Source organism: Homo sapiens, chromosome 12 (genome assembly GCF_000001405.40).
Source record: "Homo sapiens chromosome 12, GRCh38.p14 Primary Assembly".
In the NCBI taxonomy this organism is placed as follows: domain Eukaryota; kingdom Metazoa; phylum Chordata; class Mammalia; order Primates; family Hominidae; genus Homo; species Homo sapiens.
The window spans coordinates 7,647,414-7,670,777 of record NC_000012.12 but is presented as its reverse complement, the minus strand read 5'-3'; the positions used below and the strand labels follow the sequence as shown (position 1 = coordinate 7,670,777).

General features: G+C 44.3%; 1 protein-coding gene across 3 annotated transcripts, besides 1 other annotated feature; it reads left to right on the top strand.

The window, feature by feature from the left end:
- Window positions 1–178: 178 nt before the first annotated feature.
- APOBEC1 (apolipoprotein B mRNA editing enzyme catalytic subunit 1) lies at window positions 179–21,378 on the top strand. 3 transcript variants are annotated; one of them, NM_001304566.1, is made up of 6 exons: window positions 179–192; window positions 4,896–4,921; window positions 16,146–16,173; window positions 17,943–18,340; window positions 19,637–19,755; window positions 21,082–21,378. In NM_001304566.1, exons 2-6 carry the CDS (start codon window positions 4,906–4,908, stop codon window positions 21,229–21,231), a joined length of 711 nt encoding a protein of 236 aa, NP_001291495.1. In that variant the 5' UTR covers window positions 179–192; window positions 4,896–4,905; the 3' UTR covers window positions 21,232–21,378. The 3 variants fall into 3 exon arrangements, with proteins under 3 accessions (NP_001291495.1, NP_001635.2, NP_005880.2); NM_001644.5 differs by lacking the exon at window positions 179–192 and having other exon boundaries at window positions 4,870–4,921; NM_005889.4 differs by lacking the exons at window positions 179–192; window positions 16,146–16,173 and having other exon boundaries at window positions 4,870–4,921.
- Window positions 3,871–4,165: an enhancer, noted in NCBI's record as "tiled region #10898; HepG2 Activating DNase matched - State 8:EnhW". NCBI's record gives its function as "activates a minimal TATA promoter and a strong SV40 promoter by Sharpr-MPRA in HepG2 cells {active_cell/tissue: HepG2}" and the evidence as "EXISTENCE:reporter gene assay evidence [ECO:0000049][PMID:27701403]".
- Window positions 21,379–23,364: the final 1,986 nt, after the last annotated feature.

Here is a 23,364-nt window from a genome sequence, read left to right as displayed (position 1 = left end):
TATTTTTTTTTTTTTTTTTTTTTGAGACAGAGTTTTGCTCTTCTTGCCCAGGCTGGAGTGCAATGGCACGATCTCGGCTCACCACAACCTCTGCCTCCCAGGTTCAAGTGATTCTCCTGCCTCAGCCTCTGGAGTAGCTGGGATTACAGGCATGTGCCACCACACCCGGCTAATTTTGTATTTTTAGTAGAGGTGGGGTTTCTCCATGTTGGTCAGACTGGTCTCGAACTCCTGACCTCAGGCGATCCACCCGCCTTGGCCTCCCAAAGTGCTGGGATTGCAGGTATGAGCCACTGCACCCGGCCAGGTTAGGTGTATTAAATGAATTTTCAACTTAACAATATTTTGCAATTATGATGGGATTATGGAGACATGACTTCATTGTAAACTGAGGAGCATTTGTATACAGATATGACAAAGCTTGTATCCACAATACGTAAAAAACTCTTACAACTCAGTAATGAGACAAAGAACCCAATTAAAAAATGGACAAGGCCAGGTGTGGTGGCTCACACCTGGTAATCCCAGCACTTTGGGAGGCTGGGGCAGGTGGATCACCTGAGGTCAGGAGTTTGAGACCAGCCTGACCAACATGATGAAACCCCATCTCTACTAAAAATGCAAAAATCAGCCAGGCATGGTGGCACACGCCTGTAATCCCAGCTACTCGGGAGACTGTGACAAGAGAATCACCTGAACCCGGGAGGAGGAGGTTGCAGTGAGCCAAGATGGGGCCATTGTACTCCAACCTGGGCAACAAGAGCAAAATTTTGTCTCCAGGGTGGGTGGGAGGTGGGCGAGGTAGGGAGGGAAGACAAAAAATTTGAACAAGTTTCAGAAAAAAGATATATAAATAACTAATAAGTACATGAAAAGATGTTCATTGCATTTAATTTTAATGCAAATTAAAATCACAATGAGATACTACCACACACTCACAAGTATGATTGTAACTAACAGGGCTGACATTACTAAGTACTGATGAGGTTGTATAACAATTGGGGCTCTCTTATACACCTGATGAAAATGTAAACTGGTAACAACAATTTGGCATTTTCTTCAGTTAAATGTAGCTGGGTGTAGTGGCTCACACCTGTAATCCCAGAACTTTGGGGAGGCCAAGGCAGGAGGATTTCTCAAACCCAGGAGTTCAAGACCAACTTGGGCAATATAGTGAGACCCTGTCCCTATAAAAAATAAAATCAATTTTTTAAAAAAGAGTTAAATGTGCATTTACCTATTTGATCCAGCAATTTCACTCTTGGGTATTTACCCAAGAGGAAGAAAAAGAGACATGTTTACACAAAGAATTGTATACAAATGTTCACAGCAGCTTTATTCATGAAAGCCTAAAATTGGAAATAACCCAAAGTACATCACATCGACAGAAGAATATACAAATCGTAGCATACCTATGCAATGGAATACTATTCAGCAATGAAAATTAACCACCAATACACCTAATCATGTAGACCGATTTTACAGAAAAGCTGAAGAACAGCCTGGCCAACATGGTGAAACCCCGTCTCTACTAAAAATACAAAAAGTTGTATAGTGAGACCCTGTCTCAAAAAAAAAAAAAGGAAAAGCTGAGCAAAAGAACACACAAAAGTGTGCACAATGCATGATTCCATTTGTATGAAGTTCTATAATAGTCAAAACTAAACTATAGAGACAGAAAGAGCAGTATTTGCCTGGGACTAGGAGTAGGAGGATAGCTGCTAACACACAGAATTGGGGGGTGCTGGCCAGGCATGGTGGCTCACACCTGTAATCCCAGCACTTTGGGAGGCCAAGGTGGGTGGATCACTTGAGGTCAGGAGTTCGAGACCAGCCTGGCCAACACGGTGAAACCTCATCTCTACTAAAAGTACAAAAATTAGCTGGGCATGGTAGTGCATCTCTGTAATCCCAGCTACTTCTTGCAAGGCTGAGACATGAGAATGGCTTGAACCCGGGGGGCTGAGGCTACAGTGAGCCAAGGTCAAGCCACTGCACTCCAGCCTGGGCGATAGAGGAAGACCCTGTCTTAAAAAAAAACAAAAAAACAAAAGAACTTTTGGGGTGATGGGAATTTTAAATATCTTGACTGGAGTAGTTACATAAGTGTATGTATACATTTTTCAAAATTCATAAATTTTCAGGTGCAGGACAGACTTAAACTGAATAGCTACATTTCATCCTTGATTATCTTTGACCTCACTTACAAATAATTAACCACATGATAGTCTGTCATATGTCATAGTTCCAAGTTTTCTTAAACAAAACAGAACATGGACGAAGCGCTCAATAGGCATTCTAGTAGAAAACAAACCCAAGTTTTGCACCCTCTTGGCTGCTGCATGTTTACTTCCTGGGAGCATGTCCTACCATATCAGTTTCCTATTGCCGCTTCATGAAATTGCCACAGACTTAATGGTATAAAACGACACACATTGTTTTATAGTTCTGGAGGTCTGAAGTACAAAACAGGTCTCACTAAGCTGACATCAAGGTGTCATCAGGGTAGCATTTCTTCTGGAGGCTCTGGGGGAGAATCCATTCCTTGCCTTTTCCAGCTTCTACAGGCTTTCCTCATTCCTTGAATCGTGGCTCCCTTTGAGCCAGCAAGCAGAATTCTGCTCTCATCCTCATATCTCCATTTCGCATCCTGACTCTGACTCTTCTACCTCCCTCTTATAAGGACCCTGTGATTAGACTGTGCCCACCTGCATAATCCAGGATTGTCTTCTCATCTCAAGATTTTTAATTAACGACAAAGACCCTTTTGGCACTTAAGTTCATATGTTTAACAGATTCCAGGGATCAGGACATGGATATCGTTGATGGCTATTATCTTACCTTTTTTTTTTTTTCTTTTTTTTTTTAGACGTAGTCTCACTCTGTTGCCCAGGCTGCAGTGCAATGGTGAGATCTCGGCTAACTGCAAACTTCCCTCCTGGGTTCGAGCAATTCTCATGCCTCAGCCTTCCGAGAAGCTGGGATTACAGTCACCTGCCACCACACCCAGCTGACTTTTATATTTTTAGGAGACTGGGTTTTGCCATGTTGGCCAGGGTGGTCTTGAACTCCTGACCTCAGGTGATCCTCCCATCTCTGCCTCTCATAGTGCTGGGATTACAGGCGCGAGCCACTGCGCCTGGCCTAACCTACTTTTATTCTACAATGATTCTACTCTTACCTAACTTAGAAAAACTTGGTCTCTGAAGGGCCTTTATTGATGATGTGGGATTTCTGCCCCTTCTTCAAAACACTGGTCTGCCCCTGTCGAAACACCTGCTTTATCTCATGGAGGCTCCAGGTTGACTTTCATAACTAAGTAAAGTCTTGTATGTAGGATTCGGGTTTCAGGTTCATGGGGCCTTGAGATTCAAAGTTCAGGAGTTCTAGATTTGAGACACTAGAGGGAGACTTAGGCCTTGAAAAAGTGACCTCAATTCTAGGAGTAAGTGCTGAGACTCAGAGGAATTTTTGGCTTGAACTTGACCCAGGGTTCAGGCAACAGAGAGCAATGGCATAGGGAAGTATGGCATTTACTTTTTCAAGGGGGATAAAAAAGCAGAAGTGGCTGGGAGAGGTGGCTCACGCCTGTAATCCTAGCATTTTGGGAAGCTGAGGCGGGTGGATCACCTGAGGTCAGGAGTTTGAGACCAGCCTGGCCAACATGGAGAAACCCTGTCTCTACTAAAAATATAAAAATTAGCCTGGTGTGGTGGTGGGTGCCTGTAATCCCTGCTACTTGGGAGGCTGAGGCAGGAGAATCACTTGAACCTGGGAGGCAGAGGTTGCAGTGAGCCGAGATCGCGCCATTGCACTTCAGCCTGGGTGACAAGAGCGAAACTCTGTCTCAAAAAAAAAAAAAAAGGGCAGAAGTGGACTTGGCCACACACTTAATCTTAGATTCAAGGATGAAGAGAGCACCAAAGACCTGTACACAAATTAGCTGACTCAGAGGCCAAGGTCCTTCTCATTTTGTATCTAATAGCTCCCCTCCCCTCTCCAACACGGATGTAGGACAGAGAGCAAAATGAGAGGAAGTTGGAAATAGGTGAATAACAGCTGAAAGCCAAGGCCACAGTGTGCTCACCAGATAACATAAAAATTTTCAAGCTATAGTTACAGATTAAGTCTCTCTTAACTTTATTTTTCCTCTCATCTCTCCATTAAAGAATGATGCATCCTAGGCTAGGCACGGTGGCTCATGCCTGTAATCCCAGCACTTTGGGAGGACGAGGCGGGTGGATCACCTGAGGTCAAGAGTTCAAAAACAGCCTGACCAACATGGTGAAACCCCGTCTCTACTAAAAATACAAAAAATTAGCCGGGCGTGGTGTTGGGCGCCTGTAATCCCAGCTACTCGGGAGGCTGAGGCAGGGGAATCGCTTGAACCTGGGAGGCAGAGGTTGCAGTGAGCCAAGATTGTGCCATTGCACTCCAGCCTGGGCGACAAGAGCAAAACTCCGTCTCAAAGAAAAAAAAAAAGAATGATGCATCCTTGATGCAGAGTAGGAGATAATGAAAAATAAATAAATAAAACAAAACAAAACAAAAAAGAATGATGGATCCACCTTGCCTTAATCTTTATTTAAAGAAAGAGAAAGTTTACCAAATTCAGATGTCATTGAAGAACTTTGGAATTTGGTACCCAGTGATCCACCCTACAAAATTCATGTCATTTGCATCATAGGCTTTCTCATCACTAAAGATGCAAATCCCCACGATAATGTCCCTCTCAGTCGGCCCCCTGTTTGTACAGACAGCTCAGATTCCCATAACTGCCTGAGATGCGGGAATGAGTCATCCTCTGCCCAAGCAGGTGGCAGTGGGCACACCTGAAGCAACAAAGTCCAGGAACAATCAGCACAACTTATGACTCCAGAGGAGGAAGTCCAGAGACAGAGCACCATGACTTCTGAGAAAGGTAAAATGGATCCGGGGGCTTGGCAAGTATTCTTGAACAATGCAAGAATGGTGTGTGTGTGTGTGTGTGTGTGTGTGTGTGTGTGTGTGTGTGTGTGTGTGTGTCCTGCTGATTCTTGCATCTGTGGGTGTTTTCAAACTTCCCTATTATTGATTAATATATTAGTCTTAAATAAGATGGTTTATTATTAGTAAATATTTACATCTCCAAGTGACTTTAACCAAATCAGTGTTTGTTTCACCATGATAAAAAATTAAGTAGCCAGGCGCTGTGGCTCACACCTGTAATCCCAGCACTTTGGGAGTCCAAGGAGGGTGGATCACTTGAGGCCCAGGGTTTGAGACCAGCCTGGCCAACATGGTGAAACCCTATCTGTACTAAAAATACAAAAATTAGCCAGGCATGGTGGCGCATGCCTGTAGTCCCAGCTACTCGGGAGGCTGAGGCAGGAGGATCACTTGAACACAGGAGGCGGAGGTTGCAGTGACCTGAGATCACGCCACTGCACTCCAGCCTGGGCAACAGAGCAAGACTCTGTCTCACAAAAATAAAAAAAAAGTTAAGTAAAAGTACAACTGTTTAAATAACAGTTTAAGGTAACAACAGACGTGATAGCATGAGAACAATGTGCTAATTGACAAATGAATTGACTATAACTAATTGATAAATTTGTGCACAGTCAGTGTTAGAAAAATGCATGGGAGAGGAAGAACACTTCAGGCTGAAGGAAGTAATTTCAGCTGAGCTAGGATTTGAGCTGGATTCTAAGAGAAGTGTAGACCTAAAAAAATTTTTATCTTATTTTGTTTTTAGAGACTAGCGGGTGGGTTCACTACTTCGCCCAGGCTGGTCTGGAACTCCTGGGCTCAAGCAATTCTCCACCCTTGGTCTCTCAAAGTACTAGGAATACAGGCATGAGCCACCATGCCTAACCAAATTTTTTTTTTTTTTTTTTTAAGACTCGCCCTGTTGCCTAGGCTGGAGTACAGTGGTGTGATCACTGCTCACTGCTGTCTTGACCTCCTGGGCTCAAGAGATCCTCCCGCCTCACCTTCCTGGGTAGCTGGGACAACAGGCATGGGCCACCAGCCCTGCTAATTTTTTTGTAGAGATGAGGTCTTGCTTTATTGCTCAGGCTGGTCTTGAACTCCTGGGCTCAAGTGATCCACTAGCCTCGGCCTCCCAAAGTACTGGGATTACAGGTGTAAGCCACCATGCCAGGCCAGAAGGGCAGACTTTGGATCGACAAAGAAGAGGAGATTCCAGGTTGATTGAATCCTATTGATGAACAGAATTTAAAAGCTTTTATAGAGACTTGTGTCTGGAATATAATGAATAAACTGGTTAGGCTACAAAAAATTTATGTAAACAATTTGCAGTAAGACCAGAAAGCAAATTTGAAGTGTTATTATACTATAGAGGACTTCGAATGCCAGGCTCAAGGAATGAAAGTTTTTCTTTATGGTAGAGGGAATATCTTTGGAGAATTTATGAATAGCACAGAGATATGACTAAAATAGTGCTTTAGACACATTTACTTGACATGTGATGGGTTTTGGACTGGAAGCAAGGAGACCAGTTAGAAGACTATTGCAATAGTGTGAGTGTGATGGGGCAGAAGGTAATATAGATATCAGTTTGGAGTTGAAGTAACAATTTATTTTCTCCTTTATGTTCTTCATCTGTTAGAATTCTTTTTTAAGGTCAGGTGTGATGGCTCACACCTGTAATCCCAGCACTTTGGGAGGTCAAGGCAGGCGGATCACCTGAGGTAGGGAGTTTGAGACCAGCCTGACCAACATGGAGAAACAACGTCTCTATTAAAAATACAAAATTAGCTGGGCACGGTAGCACATGCCTGTAATCCCGCTACTTGGGAGGCCAAGGCAGGAGAATCACTTGAACCAGGGAGGCGGAGGTTGCAGTGAGCCGAGATCGCGCCATTGCACTCCAGCCTGGGCAACAAGAGCAAAACTCCATCTCGGGAAAAAAAAAAAAATTCTTTTTTAAGTGGCATACTGGGGGAAAGACCAAACACATTATTTGATTGTAGTAGCTAATACCTTCCCTGGACTTTTCTTATGAAGGTGGTGTGTTCTATACCTCAAACTGTCCCCAGTCATGTGGCTGGTATCCTTGTCTTTGCATCCCAGGAATAATATTGATCAGTGTAGACACAGCATATGTCTCACCGTCCCTTTCTGAACTTCTCACTGCTGCTTCAGCTCTTTCAGAGAAAGTGTCTTCCCATCATCAAATGCCTTTTTCCTATGATGTGGCCTCTGTTTATGTAAGGCTCCCTCGGAGTAGATTACTGGTTCAAGGGCCCCAATTTGCACTAAGATCTGAGAAGAGCTCATTCCAACGTGCCAGCCACCCCCTTCCTCCTTCCTCCCAATGCTCAAATCCCCCATTCCTCCTTTAAAAGTAAGAGATTTGTTCTTCAGGTCACACTTGGAATAGTGTTTCCTGACTTCGTCCTATTTCCTAGATATCTGGCTAATTTCTCATTTTAGTTCTTCTCCCCAGCTAGAACCACTCTCTGCAAAAAAACCATGCCATGCCCAAGTCCTTTCTACAACTCCTCTACCATCCAGTGCAAATGCATAAAAAGTAACACACACAAACAGGTACACACACAGCCTAGGGTAAAGCATGCTCTGTTTTAAAGGAAGTGTCTTCCAGAGCCTGTGACTCTTCTCTGTTCAAAAATAGCACCTGCGAGTTAAGGTTTGGCCAGGAGCGTGGGATGAATTTCTTGCCTGCATCTCCCCAAATCACCCTTAGAGGTTCAGGCCTTGTCAGCGCCCATTTTATTGCCAGGAACATCCCCAAGCCTCTGAGTCCTGAGAGGCGCAGGTCTCTAAAATTCAGTACTCTCCCTTGAATCATCCCCATACTCTCTAATGGCTTCTTACACTTAGCATACTATCCAGAGCTGGTAAGGCCCTGTGGCTTACCCCCTCCATTGCTCATCTCCCTCCATTGCAGGTCTTGATCACTCCGACCCAGCCAAGCTGACTTGCTTGCTCTTCCTTGAACAAGTCAAGGTCCACACTTCAGGTCGTTTGCACCTGGTGTTCCCTGTGCTTGGAAAGCTCTCCCCTTCCCCGACGTCCACATGTCTTGCTCTCTAAATTTACATTCAGGTCTCAGCTTTAATGTCCCTCTTTATAGATGTCTTCTCTGACTGCCATCTCTGATATGGTCGATATGGTGCCCCCACCACCTTTTGTCTCCTTCCAGTACTTTTCTTCTTCCTTTTTTTTTGAGATGGAGTCTCTCTCGCTCTGTCGCCCAGGCTAGAGTGCAATGGTGTGATCTTGGCTTACTGTAACCTCCACCTCCCAGGTTCAAGTGATTCTCCTGCCTCAGCCTCCCGAATAGCTGGGATTACAGGCACGTGCCAACATGCCCGGCTAATTTTTGTATTTTTAGTAGAGACAGGGTTTTGCCATATTGGCCAGGCTGGTTTCAAACTCCTGAACTCAGGTGATCCACCCGCCTTGGCCTCCCAAAAGTGCTGGGATTACAGGCATGATCCACCGTACCCGGCCGTCTTTTTTTAAATTTTTAAATTTTTTTTATTTTTTAAAGACAACGTCTTGCTCTGTCGCCCAGGCTGGAGTGCAATGGCGATCATGGCTCACTGTAGCCTCGAACTCCTGGGCTCAAGTGATCCTCCCACTTCAGCCTTCTGAGCAGTGGGGACTACTGGTGCACACCACCATGCCCGGCTAATTTAAAAAAGGTTTGGTTTTGTTTTGTTTTGTTTTTAGAGACGGGGTCTTGCTGTGTTGCTTACGGTAGTCTCAATTTCCTAGCCTCAAGCAATCCTCCCGCCTCAGCCTCCTGAAGTGTTGGGATTATAGGCATGAGCTATGGCACCCAGCCAGGGACTCTTTTGACTAAGGGAGAGATCAAGATAATCCCCACTCCCTGAAGCCCTGTGCATTGGGAATTTAGATGACTGCTCATTTCCACATCAATTGTTACTTCCCATCTCTCAATTCTAGTGCTGGACCTACTATTAGGTTCTATACCTAAGAGCAGCAATTGTTGCTTTTTTCTCTTTCCCCTTCCAGGTTAGCACGATTCAAAGGGAGAATCTGTGTCCACTTGAGGTCCCTTATGTAGCAGGACTGCCCTGTAAATGTCTTCAGGAACCACTTGGCTCCAGTTGGAGCCTGGTCCTTTTTTGCTGGTTCAATAGGATCTTTCCATATGTTCTTTACAAGTATCTTTTTACACTTATTACTCATTCAGTTATCTTTTCTCCTTCCTCTCGAGTTGTGGTTTAAAATATGTATAATTACAATTATAAAGAGATATCTATCTATCTATCTATCTATCTATCTATCTATCTATCATCTGTCATCAAAGATATCCTGGCTTCTCTCCACACTACCAAATACTCTTTCTTATTTTTTAATTATAATTTTTATTTCAGATTCATGGGGTACACGTGCAGATTTGTTACAAGGGTATATATTGTGTGATGCTGAGGTTTGGGCTTGTATTGACTCTGCTACCGAGATAGTGAACATAGTACCCAATGGGAAGTTTTTCAGCTCTTTCCCCTCTCCCTCCCTCAGTCCTTTTGGACTTTTCCAGTGTCTATTGTTCCCGTCTTTTTTTTTTTTTTTTTTTTGAGACGGAGTCTCGCTCTATCACCCAGGCTGGAGTGCAGTGGCGCAAATTTGGCTCACTGCAAGCTCCGCCTCCCGGGTTCACGCCATTCTCCTGCTGCAGCCTCCCGAGTAGCTGGAACTATAGGTGCCTGCCACCACACCAGGCTAATTTTTTTTTTTTTTTTTTTGTATTTTTAGTACAGACGGGATTTCACCATGTTAGCCAGGATGGTCTCGATCTCCTGACCTTGTGATCCACCCGCCTCCGCCTCCCAAAGTGCTGGGATTAGAGGTGTGAGCCACCATGCCTGGCTGTTCCTGTCTTTATGTCCATGTGTACCCAAGGTTTAGCTCCCACTTATAAGTGAGAACATGCAATATTTGGTTTTCTGTTTCTGTGTTAATTTGCTTAGGATAATGGTCTCCAGCTGCATCTATGTTGCTGCAAAGGACATGATTTATGATTTCATTCTTTTGTATAGCTGTATAGTTTTCCATCAAATACCCTTTTTTTTTTTTTTTTTAGATGGAATCTCATTCTGTCACCAAGGGTGGAGTGCAGTGGCACATTCTTGGCTCACTGCAAGCTCCGCCTCCCGGGTTCAAGCGATTCTTGTGCCTCGGCCTCCTGAGTAGCTGGGATTACAAGCATGGGCCACCATGCCTGGCTAATTTTTTGTATTTATTAGAGACGGGGTTTCACCATGTTAGGCTGGTCTCGAACTCCTGACCCTCAGGTGATCCACCCACCTAGGCCTCCCAAAGTGCTGGGATTACAGGTGTGAGCCACTGTCCCTGGCCCAAATACCCTCTCTTTCTTTCTTTCTTTCTTTCTTTCTTTCTTTCTTTCCTTCCTTCCTTCCTTCCTTCCTTCCTTCCTTCCTTCCTTCCCTTCCTTCCTTCCTTCCTTCCTTTCTTTTTTTGAGACAGAGTCTTGCTCTGTCACCCAAGCTGGAGGGCAGTGGCATGATCTCTGCTCACTGCAACCTCTGCCTCCCGGGTTCAAGCAATTCTCCTGTCTCAGCCTCCAGAATAGCAGGGATTACAGGTGCCTGCCACCACACCTGGCTAATTTTTGTATTTTTAGTAGAGACGGGGTTTCACCATGTTGCCCAGGCTAGTCTTGAACCCTTGACCTTGTGAACCACCCGCCTCAGCCTCCCAAGTGTTGGGATTACAGGCGTGAGCCACCGCACCCGGCCCAAATACCCTTTCTTTAAATTGAAACTTTATTTTATTTTATTTATTTATTTTTTTGAGACGTAGTCTCGCTCTGTCGCCCAGGCTGGAGTGCAGTGGCTTGATCTCGGCTCACTGCAAGCTCTGCCTTCCAGGTTCACGCCATTCTCCTGCCTCAGCCTCCCGAGTAGCTGGGACTACAGGCGCCCGCCACCACGCCTGGCCAGTTTTTTGTATTTTTAGTAGAGTTGGGTTTTCACCGTGTTAGCCAGGATGGTCTCGATCTCCTGACCTCATGATCCGCCCACCTCGGCCTCCCAAAGTGCTGGGATTACAGGCATGAGCCGCTGTGCCTGGCCAGTAGTTGCATTTTTAGTTTTTCTTTTTTAAAATAAATTTGCAAACTGTTTTCCAGTATGGCTGTACCAGTTTACATTCCCACCAGCAAAGTATGACAGATTCAGTTTCTCTGCATCCTTACCAGCATTTGGTGTTTTGCATGCGTGTCTGTGCACGCACACCTATACACACACATATAGCCATTCTGATAGGTGTGTAGGAATATCTCATTGTGGTTTTAATTTGTATCTCCCTGGTGCAAATTAAATGGTGAGTTGGTCACAAGTACTCCAGGTTGCCGGTAGTTCCTTTTGTGTGTGTGTGTGTGTGTGTGATTTTTAAATTTCAAATATAAACATATATATATATATATATATATATATATTTTTTTTTTTTTTTTTTTTTTTTTTTTTGAGAGGGAGTTTCACTCTTGTTGCCCAGGCTGGAGTGCAATGGCGCGATCTCGGCTCACTACAACCTCCACCTCCTGGGTTCAAGCAATTCTCCTGCCTCAGCTTCCTGAGTAGCTGGGATTACAGGCATGCGCCACCACACCCAGCTAATTTTGTATTTTTAGTAGAGACAGGGTTTCTCCATGTTGGTCAGGCTGGTCTCGAACACCTGACCTCAGGTGATCTGCCTGCCTCAGCCTCCCAAAGTGCTGGGATTACAGGCATGAGCCACCGCGCCCGGCCTATAAATATATTTTTAAATTTTCTTTTTTTGGTGGAAGTGCTTTTTTTTTTTTTCTTTTGACATGGAGTTTTGCTCTCGTTGCCCAGGCTGGAGTGCAACGGCATGATCTGGGCTCACCGCAACCTCTGCCTCACAGATTCAAGTGATTCTTGTGCCTCGGCCTCCCAAGTAGCTGGGATTACAGGCATGTGCCACCACACCCGGCTAATTTTTGTATTTTTAGTAGAGACGGGGTTTCGCCATGTTGGTCAGGCTGGTCTCAAACTCCTGACCTAAGGTGATCCACCTGCCTCAGCCTCCCAAAGTCAGCCACCGCGCCTGGCCTAAATTTTCAATCAATATGTGCCAAGTGATTATTATTTAAAAATATTAGCTTGAGAAGAGTTCTCAGACTCAATTTTATTGTCATGAGCCTCTTACAGTGAGGTCTCACAGACTTCCTTTTTCCTTCATGCCACTGACTCTGAGACCATCTGGCACTGTGACACCTCTGTTGGGTAATCAAGCCATAAATCAAAATCTTTAGTCTCCAATTCCTGTATCGCCTTTCTCAAAACGCAGCCTGAGTCTGAAAAATAATGTACCTGTAACCAAGGACTCCAACACCTATTTAATCATCTATCAAACCTGAAATAAAAACCCAATTTTGGCCGGGCACGGTGGCTCACGCCTGTAATCCCAGCACTTTGAGATGCTGAGAGGGGCAGATCACATGAGGCCAGGAGTTTGAGACCAGCCTGGCCAAGATGGTGAAACCCCGTCTCTACTAAAAATACAAAAGTTAGCCGGGTGTGGTGACACATGCCTGTAATCCCAGCTACTTGGGAGGCTCAGGCACGAGAATCACTTGAACCCTGGAGGCAAAGTTTACAGTGAGCCAAGATTGCACCACTGGACTCCAGCCTGGGTGGTGGAGTGAGGTTCTGTCTCAAAACAAAACAAAACAAAACAAAACAAAACAAAACAGAACAAATCAATTTCCAGGTGATTCTATTTCGGAAATTGGAAGAAATTAGGGACTTTTGATCAGTCCATGCATTTTTGTCATAGACTTCAATTCTTTTCCAGGAAATAGTTTTGGGTATTTTTTTTGTTATTTATTTATAATTTTAGTTTAATTATTATTATCTTTTTTTGAGACAGGGTCTGTCTCTCTTGCCCCTGCTGGAGTGCAGTGGCATGCTCATGGCTCACTGCAGCCTCAACCTCCTGGGCTCAAGTGATTATCCCACCTCAGCTTTCCTAGTAGCTGGGACTACAGGCATGCACCACTACAGCTGGTTAAACTTCTGTATCTTTTTGTAGAGACGGAAATTTCCCCATTTTACCCAGGCTGGCCTTGATATCTTAGGCTTAAGCGACCATCTTGCCTTGGCCTCCCAAAGTGCTGGGATTACAGGTGTGAGTCACTGCCTACAGCCTGGTTTGTTTTTTAATTTTGTTTTGTTGTTATTGATTGTTTTTATTTTAAGGAATTTAGTAGCTCTAGATGCAGGCTTATCTTCAGTTTTCCACAGCCCTTGCTCACTTTCTTTTCATGGGAATGGCCTGGGCCTACCGTAGAAAGCATACTTCACAGTATATGGCTAGCCCTCTATATGAAAAATAAAACGTCAGAAAGTGTGCAATCCACCTCTCTCCAGCCTTAAAGGTGCAAAAAGCCTCAGAGTCACTTCAAAAGTGTTCTGACTTTGGAGACATATTCCAAGGACTGGCTCAACTTAGGTTCTATGTTATGCAACTAGACATTCAGCTAACAATTTGGCAGTCATGGCGAGGAAACATACACATGAGGCTCAATTCAAGGGTAGTAACTTAGTACGAAATGCAGTTGGTTCAAATGATTCTGGCTGGGATGCCAAATATGTAATTGAGATGTTTATGTTACCAGTATTATTAGTTCCCTTTTTCCTCTGTTAAATAGCTATTTACACACACACACACACACACACACACACACACACACACGTATATACAACACACTAGGACACCAAGTGGGTATTTTTGCAACCCAAACTAAAAATCCATAAGCATATGCATGGCAAACCGAATAGTAGAGATAAGAAAGAGAAGTATTCTTACACAGGAGGCTCTCACCTCCTCAAAATTCCCAAGTTGACATTTAATGTCAATGATGTTCATGCCATTGAAATAAACATAAAACAGGCATCTTTCTAACCCTCTGAAAGGCTGCCGTAATAACAGTGCTTAACGTTTATGAAGCATCTGCTGCGTCAGGCACCTTGCAAATGTTTTCCATTCATTGTGTTACGTGAGTCTTCCGACAACCTTGTGGAATAGGCAATCTTAGGGTCTACATTTGACAAATGGGGAAACTGAGGTCTAGAGAGGTTAGGAAACTTGCCAAATGTGTTAGAGCAAGTAATTGGCTAAACTGGGATTATAACCCATTTTTCTCTGACCCTAGAGCCTTGGCTCTTGATTGCAACACTGTGTTGCTTCTTTAGACTAGACTGAGATTCATGGACCATTTTAAGTTTGTAACCACCTTTGAGAGTCTGAATGGAGGACGTGGTTTTGCCTGGTTTTACTTCCTCCTCTAGAGTGCGGGGTCCATATTCCTCTGATGATAAGGGCCAGGAGAGCCATCTAAACAAAGTACTGCTTAGATCACTCCAAAGCCGGGGCCACTCACACTGCACCCCAGGAAACTGAACCTCTGTCCTTTCCAGCCCAGACTTTCTTCCACGGAGTGACACTGATTAGTTTGTAGGCCAGGTGAGGCATGATTTCATAACCATGGAGTAATCTGACCAGGGTCATGCAGGGGAGCAGCAGGCCTGCGGTATATAAATTCTCAAATACACATCTTCCATTTATTTCCTTATTTCTTTCTTTAAAAAAAAAAAATTTGGCCTAGGCATGGTGAATCATGCCTGTAATCCCAGCACTTTGGGAGGCTGAAGCAGGAGGATCTCTTGAGCTCAGGAGTTTGAGACCAACCTGGGCAACACAGAGAGAACACGCCTCCACAAAAAAAATAACAAATGAAATAAAATTTTAATTTTTTAAGAGACAGGGTCTCACTGTATCACCCAGGCTATGTACAGTGACATAATCATAGCTCACAGTAACCTGGAACTCCTGGGCTCTAGTGATCCTCCCTCCTCAGCCACTCAAGTAGCCACAGGTGTGTGCTAACACACCCTGCTAATTTTACATTTTGTAGGAATGGGGTCTCACTGTGTTGCCCAGGCTGGTCTCAAATTTCTGGCTTCAAGAGATCCTTCTGCCTTGGCATCTCAAAAAGCTGGGATTATAGGTATAAGCCACTGCACTCTCTCTCTATATATATAAAATCAAAGCCCCACCAATGCCACCTCCTTTTCTATTTTCCAAACTACTCCACCACCATGGTCTGCACCACTCCCTGTGAGGCCCCTCAAAGCTGTCCATGCCCATGTCTACATTAGGCTTCTCTACCCATCGTGTCATAACATTTCCTGTATTTCCATTTCTTTCTTTCTTTTTTTTTTTTTAAGGAGTCTTGCTCTGTCACTCAGGCTAGAGTGCAGTGGCGTGATCTCGGCTCACTGCAACCTCCACCTCCTGGGTTCAAGCAATTCTCCTGCCTCAGCCTCCCAAGTAGCTGGGATTACAGGCATGCGCCACCACGCCCAGCCAATTTTTTTTTGTATTTTTAGTAGAGATGCGGTTTCTCCATGTTGGTCAGGCTAGTCTGGAACTCCCGACCTCAGATGATCTGCCCGCCTCAGCCTCCCAAAGTGCTGGGATTACAGGCGTGAGCCACCACACCGGGCCTATTTTTAATTTTTATTTTTGAGACAGAGTTTTGCTCTTTTGCCCAGGCTGGAGTGCAATGGTGCGATCTTGGCTCACTGCAACCTCCTCTCCCCAGGTTCAAGTGATTCTCCTGCCTCAGCCACCCGAGTAGCTGGGATTATAGGTGCCCGCAATCACACCTGGCTAATTTTTGTATTTTTGGTAGAGACAGGGTTTCACCATGTTGGCCAGGCTGGTCTCAAACTCCTGACCTCAGGTGAACCACCTGCCTCGGTCTCCCAAAGTGCTAGAATTACAGGCGTGAGCCACCGCACCCGGCCTCTAAGAGGCTTTAAGAAGTGACTTTCCCATTGTGCTTAATCATTTTTGTTGAAGCCTTAAGGCAGACTACCTTGTTTGGGATTGGGCATCTGGGAAAAGAGATTTTGGCAGAGTCCTTAAAAATCTTGCTTTTCTTGGGTACAATGAGCTGGTCCAATACAATTAATCCATGAGAGAATCTTCAAATTCCATTTTCTGAGATGATTTGGAGGTTTGGAATAATAGAGCACTTTTTCTTAGCAACTCATTTGATATTTGAGTGTTGTTTGACATAATCATATCTTGGTCAACAGGTCCTTCAACCGGTGACCCCACTCTGAGGTAAGAATAACACTATCACAGTGCCCATTTAATTTGATCAAGAATCAATGGGTATTTAAGAGCTGTGCATGGTGGCACATGCGCCTATAATCCCAGCTACTCAGGAGGCTGAGGCAGGAGTAGGAGGATCGCTTGAGCCCAGGAGGTCAAGGCTGCAGTGAGCTATGATTGCACCACTGCACTGCAGCCGGGGTAACAGACTGAGACCCTGTCTCAAAAAAAAAAAAAAAAAGGAACTGTGGATATAGCTTTCTTTATTGTTCCTTTTCTCTTTTGCCATTTTCCATTCTTTCTTTCATTTTTGCCTTTTCCAGTTTCATTTTCTATGGTTATTGTTTTTTATATCTTTGCTCTTATGTCTTTTGATCTCTTTAAATAAATGATTTTCTAGCTTGCTTATCTGTTATTGTCTTACAATTTCTCTTCTTTTTTTAAATCGCATGCTTTTATAGCCATTAGTGAAATACCTGGGAAACTCATTTGTCACTTTAACTTCATCTTCGTTTTATAATGTCTGCCCATTTTTCAGACATAGGACAGGGAAGTCATGTTAAGGAATATATTATCTCTTGATAGGTGGAAGGATTGATCTATGTAGTAAATGAATGTGATACTTTAGGGATGAGTGGGAACTATTAGGATGTAATAAGCTTGTGACTTAACCATATTGCAAAGAAGAGTCTGCAGTTCAATTCTGAGTTTCCCTTGAGTTACAGCTTTCAGACATAGAGAGTGTTAAATCTAAAGACACCACTGAGAGCAAGTAGAATTTCTTTCTTATAGGAGTTAGTATATAGAATCCTAATGTGGAAGAATCTTGAGGCTAAATTGCTCTTTTGTCTGTTCTTGACAATACAATCTTGTTGGCAATTTGAGGCGTCAACACTTGAGAAAATCTGGTTAGAGTCCATTGAGGAATAGAAAAGATAAGGATTGGAACATAGCACCTCTAGGTGTAAAATAGAAAAGTTAGAATATAGCTAGGCATGGTGGGGCACACCTGTGGTCTCAGCTACTCAGGAGGCTGAGGCAGGAGAGTAGCTTGAGTCCAGGAAGGGGAGATCAGGCTGGCCAGCTTAGAGAGACCATGTCTTAAAAAAAAAAAAAAAAAAAAAGGGTTAGAATATAATGAAGGAAAATTTAAAAGAGAAACAAAGACACGCTTACACCTGAATTCAAGACTAAAACATAATGGTATTAGAGAGTGGTCACCAAATAATGTGACTGGGGGAAGAAACCTGTGCACTATGTTTGTGAGAAAAAAAAATCTGATAATTCAAACAGACCTCTTCAGATAACTTTGAGACATATACTAGAAAAAGAAGTTTCCTGAGATGTTATGTCTCAGATCAGCCTGATAGAAGAGGGGAGCAGAGGCTGGGCGTGGTGGCTCACGCCTGTAATCCCAGCACTTTGGGAGGCTGAGGTGGGCGAATCACAAGGTCAGGAGTTTGAGACCAGCCTGGCCAACATGGTGAAACCCCGTCTCTACTAAAAATACAAAAAAATTAGCTGGACATGGTGGCGGGAGCCTGTAATCCCAGCTACTTGGGAAGTTGAGGCAGAAAAATCGCTTGAACCTGGGAGGTGGAGGTTGTGGTGAGCTGAGATTGCACCACTGCACTCCAGTCTGGGCAACAGTGTGAGACTCCATCTTAAAAAAATAAAATAAAATAAAATAAAATAAAAAAAGAAGAGGGGAGCAGGAAAAGATTTCTAAGATCTCTCTAAATGTGGCATGACAGTGTGGGCTGCTTTTTGTATTTCAGGAGAAGAATCGAACCCTGGGAGTTTGACGTCTTCTATGACCCCAGAGAACTTCGTAAAGAGGCCTGTCTGCTCTACGAAATCAAGTGGGGCATGAGCCGGAAGATCTGGCGAAGCTCAGGCAAAAACACCACCAATCACGTGGAAGTTAATTTTATAAAAAAATTTACGTCAGAAAGAGATTTTCACCCATCCATGAGCTGCTCCATCACCTGGTTCTTGTCCTGGAGTCCCTGCTGGGAATGCTCCCAGGCTATTAGAGAGTTTCTGAGTCGGCACCCTGGTGTGACTCTAGTGATCTACGTAGCTCGGCTTTTTTGGCACATGGATCAACAAAATCGGCAAGGTCTCAGGGACCTTGTTAACAGTGGAGTAACTATTCAGATTATGAGAGCATCAGGTAAAAACAGTAAACAAAGAAACTTCATTGTTTACAACAGACTGTGGTGATAGTAGCTGTTTTTAGGCCAGAAGATTGGTTAGCCCAGGCTGGAAGTCTCAGAAGTAAAAGTCCAAAATAATGTCATAAAGGACTAGGTCTGAAATTCATGACAAGGAAAGTTACAAAAATACAACTCCTGGCTACGCATGGTGGCTCATGCCTATAATCCCAGAACTTTGGGAGGCCAAGGCAGGAGGATCACTTGAAGCCAGGGGTTCAAGATCAGCCTGGGCAACATAGTGAGACCCCATCTCTAAAAAAAATTTAAAAATCCGGCCAGGTGCGGTGGCTCACGCCTGTAATCCCAGCACTTTGGGAGGCCGAGGTGGGCGGATCATGAGATCAGGAGATGGAGACCATCCTGGCTAACACGGTGAAACCCCGTCTCTACTAAAAAATACAAAAAAATTAGCCAGGCGTGGTGGCGGGCGCCTGTAGTCCCAGCTACTCGGGAGGCTGAGGCAGGAGAATGGCGTGAACCCGGGAGGCGGAGCTTGCAGTGAGCCGAGATCGCGCCACTGCACTCCAGCCTGGGCGACAGAGCGAGACTCCGTCTCAAGATAAAATAAAATAAAATAAAATAAAAAATAAAATAAAAAAATCAGACAGGCATGGCAGCATACACCTTTAAAGGCTGAGGTAGGAAGATCTCCTGAGCCCAGAAGTTCAAGGCTGCAGTGAGCTATGATTGGACCACTGCACACTGGCCTAGGTGACAGAGCGAAACCCTGTATCAAAAAACAAAAACAAAAACAAACAACAACTCTTTTTTTTTTTTTTTTTTGAGACGGAGTCTTGCTCTTTCGCCCAGGCTGGAGTGCAGTGGTGCAATCTCGACTCACTGCAAGCTCCACCTGGGGTTCACGCCATTCTCCTGCCTCAGCCTCCCCAGTAGCTGGGACTACAGGCGCCCACCACCACGCCCGGCTAATTTTTTGTATTTTTAGTAGAGACGGGGTTTCACTGTGTTAGGCAGGATGGTCTCGATCTCCTGACCTGTGATCCACCCCCCTCGGCCTCCCAAAGTGCTGGGATTACAGGCGTGAGCCACCGCACCCAGCCAACAACTCTTTTCTCTAGTCTTGCCTCTCAGCCATCTTTAAATGAACTGCTTTATTCTTTTTAGGGGGTCTAATGTCCAGCAGCAACTAGACTAGAGACTACAGGCTTTCTATACGGGAAGCTAGGTTGGGGATCTTCTTAAGTAATTTACCATTGTGCTTGTTGAATGAGCCAAGATTTGTGTTTCCTTAGAGTATTATCACTGCTGGAGGAATTTTGTCAACTACCCACCTGGGGATGAAGCTCACTGGCCACAATACCCACCTCTGTGGATGATGTTGTACGCACTGGAGCTGCACTGCATAATTCTAGTAAGTCACTTTAGGGACACAAATGTTGATGCAAAAAGAAGCATCCTTCTTCAAAGGTCTTTCCTGAGAAAATTTGACTCATATCTTCTTTTTGACATTTATATTGAGATTTAGTTATTTAACTAGCTAGCTCCTCTTAAGAAAATCTCAGAGCCAGGTATGGTGGTGCACACTTGTAGTCCCAGCTACGCAGGAAGCTTGAGTCTAGGCGTTGCAAGCTGCAGTGAGCTATGATCACGCCAATATGCTCCAGCCTGCGTGGTATAACAAGATCCTGTTTCTAAAACACAGCTGGGTACAGTGGCTCATGCCTGTAATCCAAGCACTTTGGAAGGCCAAGATGGGAGGATTGCTTGAGACCAGGAGTCTGAGACCAGCCTGGCCAACATAATGAGACCCCCTCTCTATAAAAAAGAAAATTATGTATCAAACAAAGTAAACAAACAAGCAAACAAACAACATCTAAGCCTAAGAACAAGAAGTGTGTTTGTGGGAGGTAAGTGGAGAAGGGAATTTGGGTAAACCGATCTAAGATATGGGTGGTCCCCATATTAATTACATTTTATCATTTTTATTCTTATTTTATTATCATTATCTTTTAAGCCACAGGGTCTCGCTGTGTTGCCTAGGCTGGGGTGTAGCGGCTATTCACAGGCACCATCACAGCAACCCACAGCCTCAAACTCCGAATTCCTAGCCTCAAGCAATCCTCTGACCTCAGCCTTCTGGGTAGCTAGAACTACAGGCGTGTGTCATCATGTCTGGCTTTATCATTATTATTGTTCTTGTTACTACAACACATATTGGCTCTACTGTATTTCAGATATTCTCCTTTCTCTTATTAGTGTGTGTAATCTTATTGAAGAGAATGTACGTGTTCCATTGGATTCTCTTGAAAGTGGTTCAGGCTGGGTGCAGTGGCTCATGCTTGTAATCCTAGCACTTTGGGAGGCAGAGGGGAGTGGATGGCTTGAGCCCAGAAGTTGGAGACCAGCCTGGGCAACATGGCGAAACCACATCTCAACAAAAACACAAAAAAATTAGCTGGGTGTGGTGGTGCGTGCCTGTAGTCCCAGCTACTTGGGAGGCTGAGGTGGGAGAATTGTTTGAGCCTAGGAGGTTGAGGCTGCAGTGAGCTGTGATTGCACCACTGCGCTCCAGCCTGGGTGAATGCAGTGAGTCCAGAACCAGACCCTGTCTGGGAAAAAAAAAAAAGAAGAAATAGTTAAATCGTCTTCCAACTGACATTTTTAAATGTTTGTGGTGATAATATTATTAATTAAAATATTCATCCTAAGGATTAAATATAATCCTTTTTTATTCCAGAGTCTTCCACCCTGTTTAAAGATTTCAAGAAGATGGCAAAATCATCTTACATTTTTCAGACTTCATCTTCAAAACTGCCATTACCAAACGATTCCGCCACACATCCTTTTAGCTACAGGGCTGATACATCCTTCTGTGGCTTGGAGATGAATAGGATGATTCCGTGTGTGTACTGATTCAAGAACAAGCAATGATGACCCACTAAAGAGTGAATGCCATTTAGAATCTAGAAATGTTCACAAGGTACCCCAAAACTCTGTAGCTTAAACCAACAATAAATATGTATTACCTCTGGCAGTTTCTGTGGGTAAGGAATTTAGAAGCAGCTTATCTGTGTGTTCCTGTCTCAGGTCCCCCACGAGGTTGTAGTCAAGATGGCAGCCAGCGCTGCAATCATTTGAGGGCTTGACTGAGGCTGGAGAATGTGCTTCCCAGGTGGCAGGCTCAGATGGCTGGCAAGTTTGTGCTAGTGGCTGGTAGAAGGTTTCAGTTTCTTGCCACACAGGCCTCTCCACAGGGTTGCTTAAATAACCTCAGGACATGGCAGTTGGCTTCCTACAGATTAATTTACCTTTTGAAAAATTTCCTGTAGAGATGGAGTTTTGCTGTGTTGCCCAGGCTGGTCTCAAAGTCCTGGACTCAAGTGATCCACCAGCCTCGGCCTACCAAAGTGCTGGGATTACCGGTGTGAGCCACCATACCTGGCCCAGAGCGAGTGATCGAAGAGAGACCAAGGTGGAAATTTCCACGACTTTGATGACTTCATCTTGGAATCACACCCTATTTCTTTTGCAGTATTCTATTTGTTACACAGGCCAGCCATGACTCAGAGTAAGAGGGGACTCATACACAAGGATTTGAAACTCAGGACATGAAAATCACTGGAAGCCATCTTGGATTTTCCCTGTAGGGGCTTTCTCTGTTTTCAGACAAATAATTACATGGAATCAATTTCTGAAGACACAGATAGAGGGAAACAAAAGACAAAGTAGTAACATCTATTATTATTTGTTTCTTAATTAGAATATCATGAGATTCACAGGTGATTTATAGAGGACTGGATGACCAGATGCAGAGAGGAGCTACCATCTCCATGAGAGCTTCGGAGACCTGCAGAGACATTGCATGACTTGCCTGCGGAAGTTGTTTGATAGGAATTCTCATTGGTTTACAGAAATAATATTGGTTAGTGATTGGCTATACATGGTGTCCAGCACAGGGCATTTTGTGGCTGCTTAGTGTCAGTCTAGAGCCCATGTTGCAAGGGGCTTTAAGAGGTAATTAGCTCAAGCAGAGAGTGAGATGTGATTGCTGTCACATTTTTTTTTTAAGTTTTTTTTTTTTTTTTTTTTTTTTTTTGAGACAGAGTCTCACTCTGTCGCCCACGCTGGAGTGCAGTGGCACAATGTCCGGCTCACTGCAAGCTCCGCCTCCCAGGTTCAGGCCATTCTCCTGCCTCAGTCTCCCGAGTAGCTGGGACTACAGGCGCCCGCCACCACGCCCGGCTAATTTTTTGTATTTTTAGTACAGACGGTGTTTCACCGTGTTAGCCAGGCTGGTCTCGATCTCCTGACCTCATGGTCCGCCCGCCTTGGCCTCCCAAAGTGCTGGGATTACAGGCGTGAGCCACTGCGTCCAGCCTGCTGTCACATTTTAAATATTCCTCTGGGCTTGATAATTTAAAGGAGCTCACATTCCTCAGATAAAATGTTCATTTTCTTTCTCAAACCTAAACATAATATTAACCACCGCTATATTATCATTTTTAGTAGGAGGATGAGAAGGGCTAAATCAGACACAATTACAAAAAACTCTTAGCCTACTCATCAATTACTCATATAAGCTGAGTAACAGCAATTCTAATTTATAACTCCTTTATAATAATATTAAATCTACTAATGAGGCTGGGCGCGGTGACTCATGCCTGTAATCCTAGCACTTTGGGAGGTCGAGGAGGGCAGATCACTTGAGGTCAGGAGTTCGAGACCAGCCTGGCCAACATGGTGAAACGCGGTCTCTACTAAAAATACAAAAATTAGCTGGGCGTGGTGGTGCACGCCCGTAATCCCAGCTACTCAGGAAGCTGAGGCAGGAGAATCGCTTGAACCTGGGAGGCGGAGGTTGCAGTGAGCCGAGATTGCACCATTGCACTCCAGCCTGTGGGACAAGAGTGAAACTCCATCTCAAAAAAAACCCCATAAATAAATAAATAAATAATAAATTTACGAATGAGAGGAGAGTGAAAAGTACCAGTTAGGCAGATAGCTAGGACATGTCCTTGGT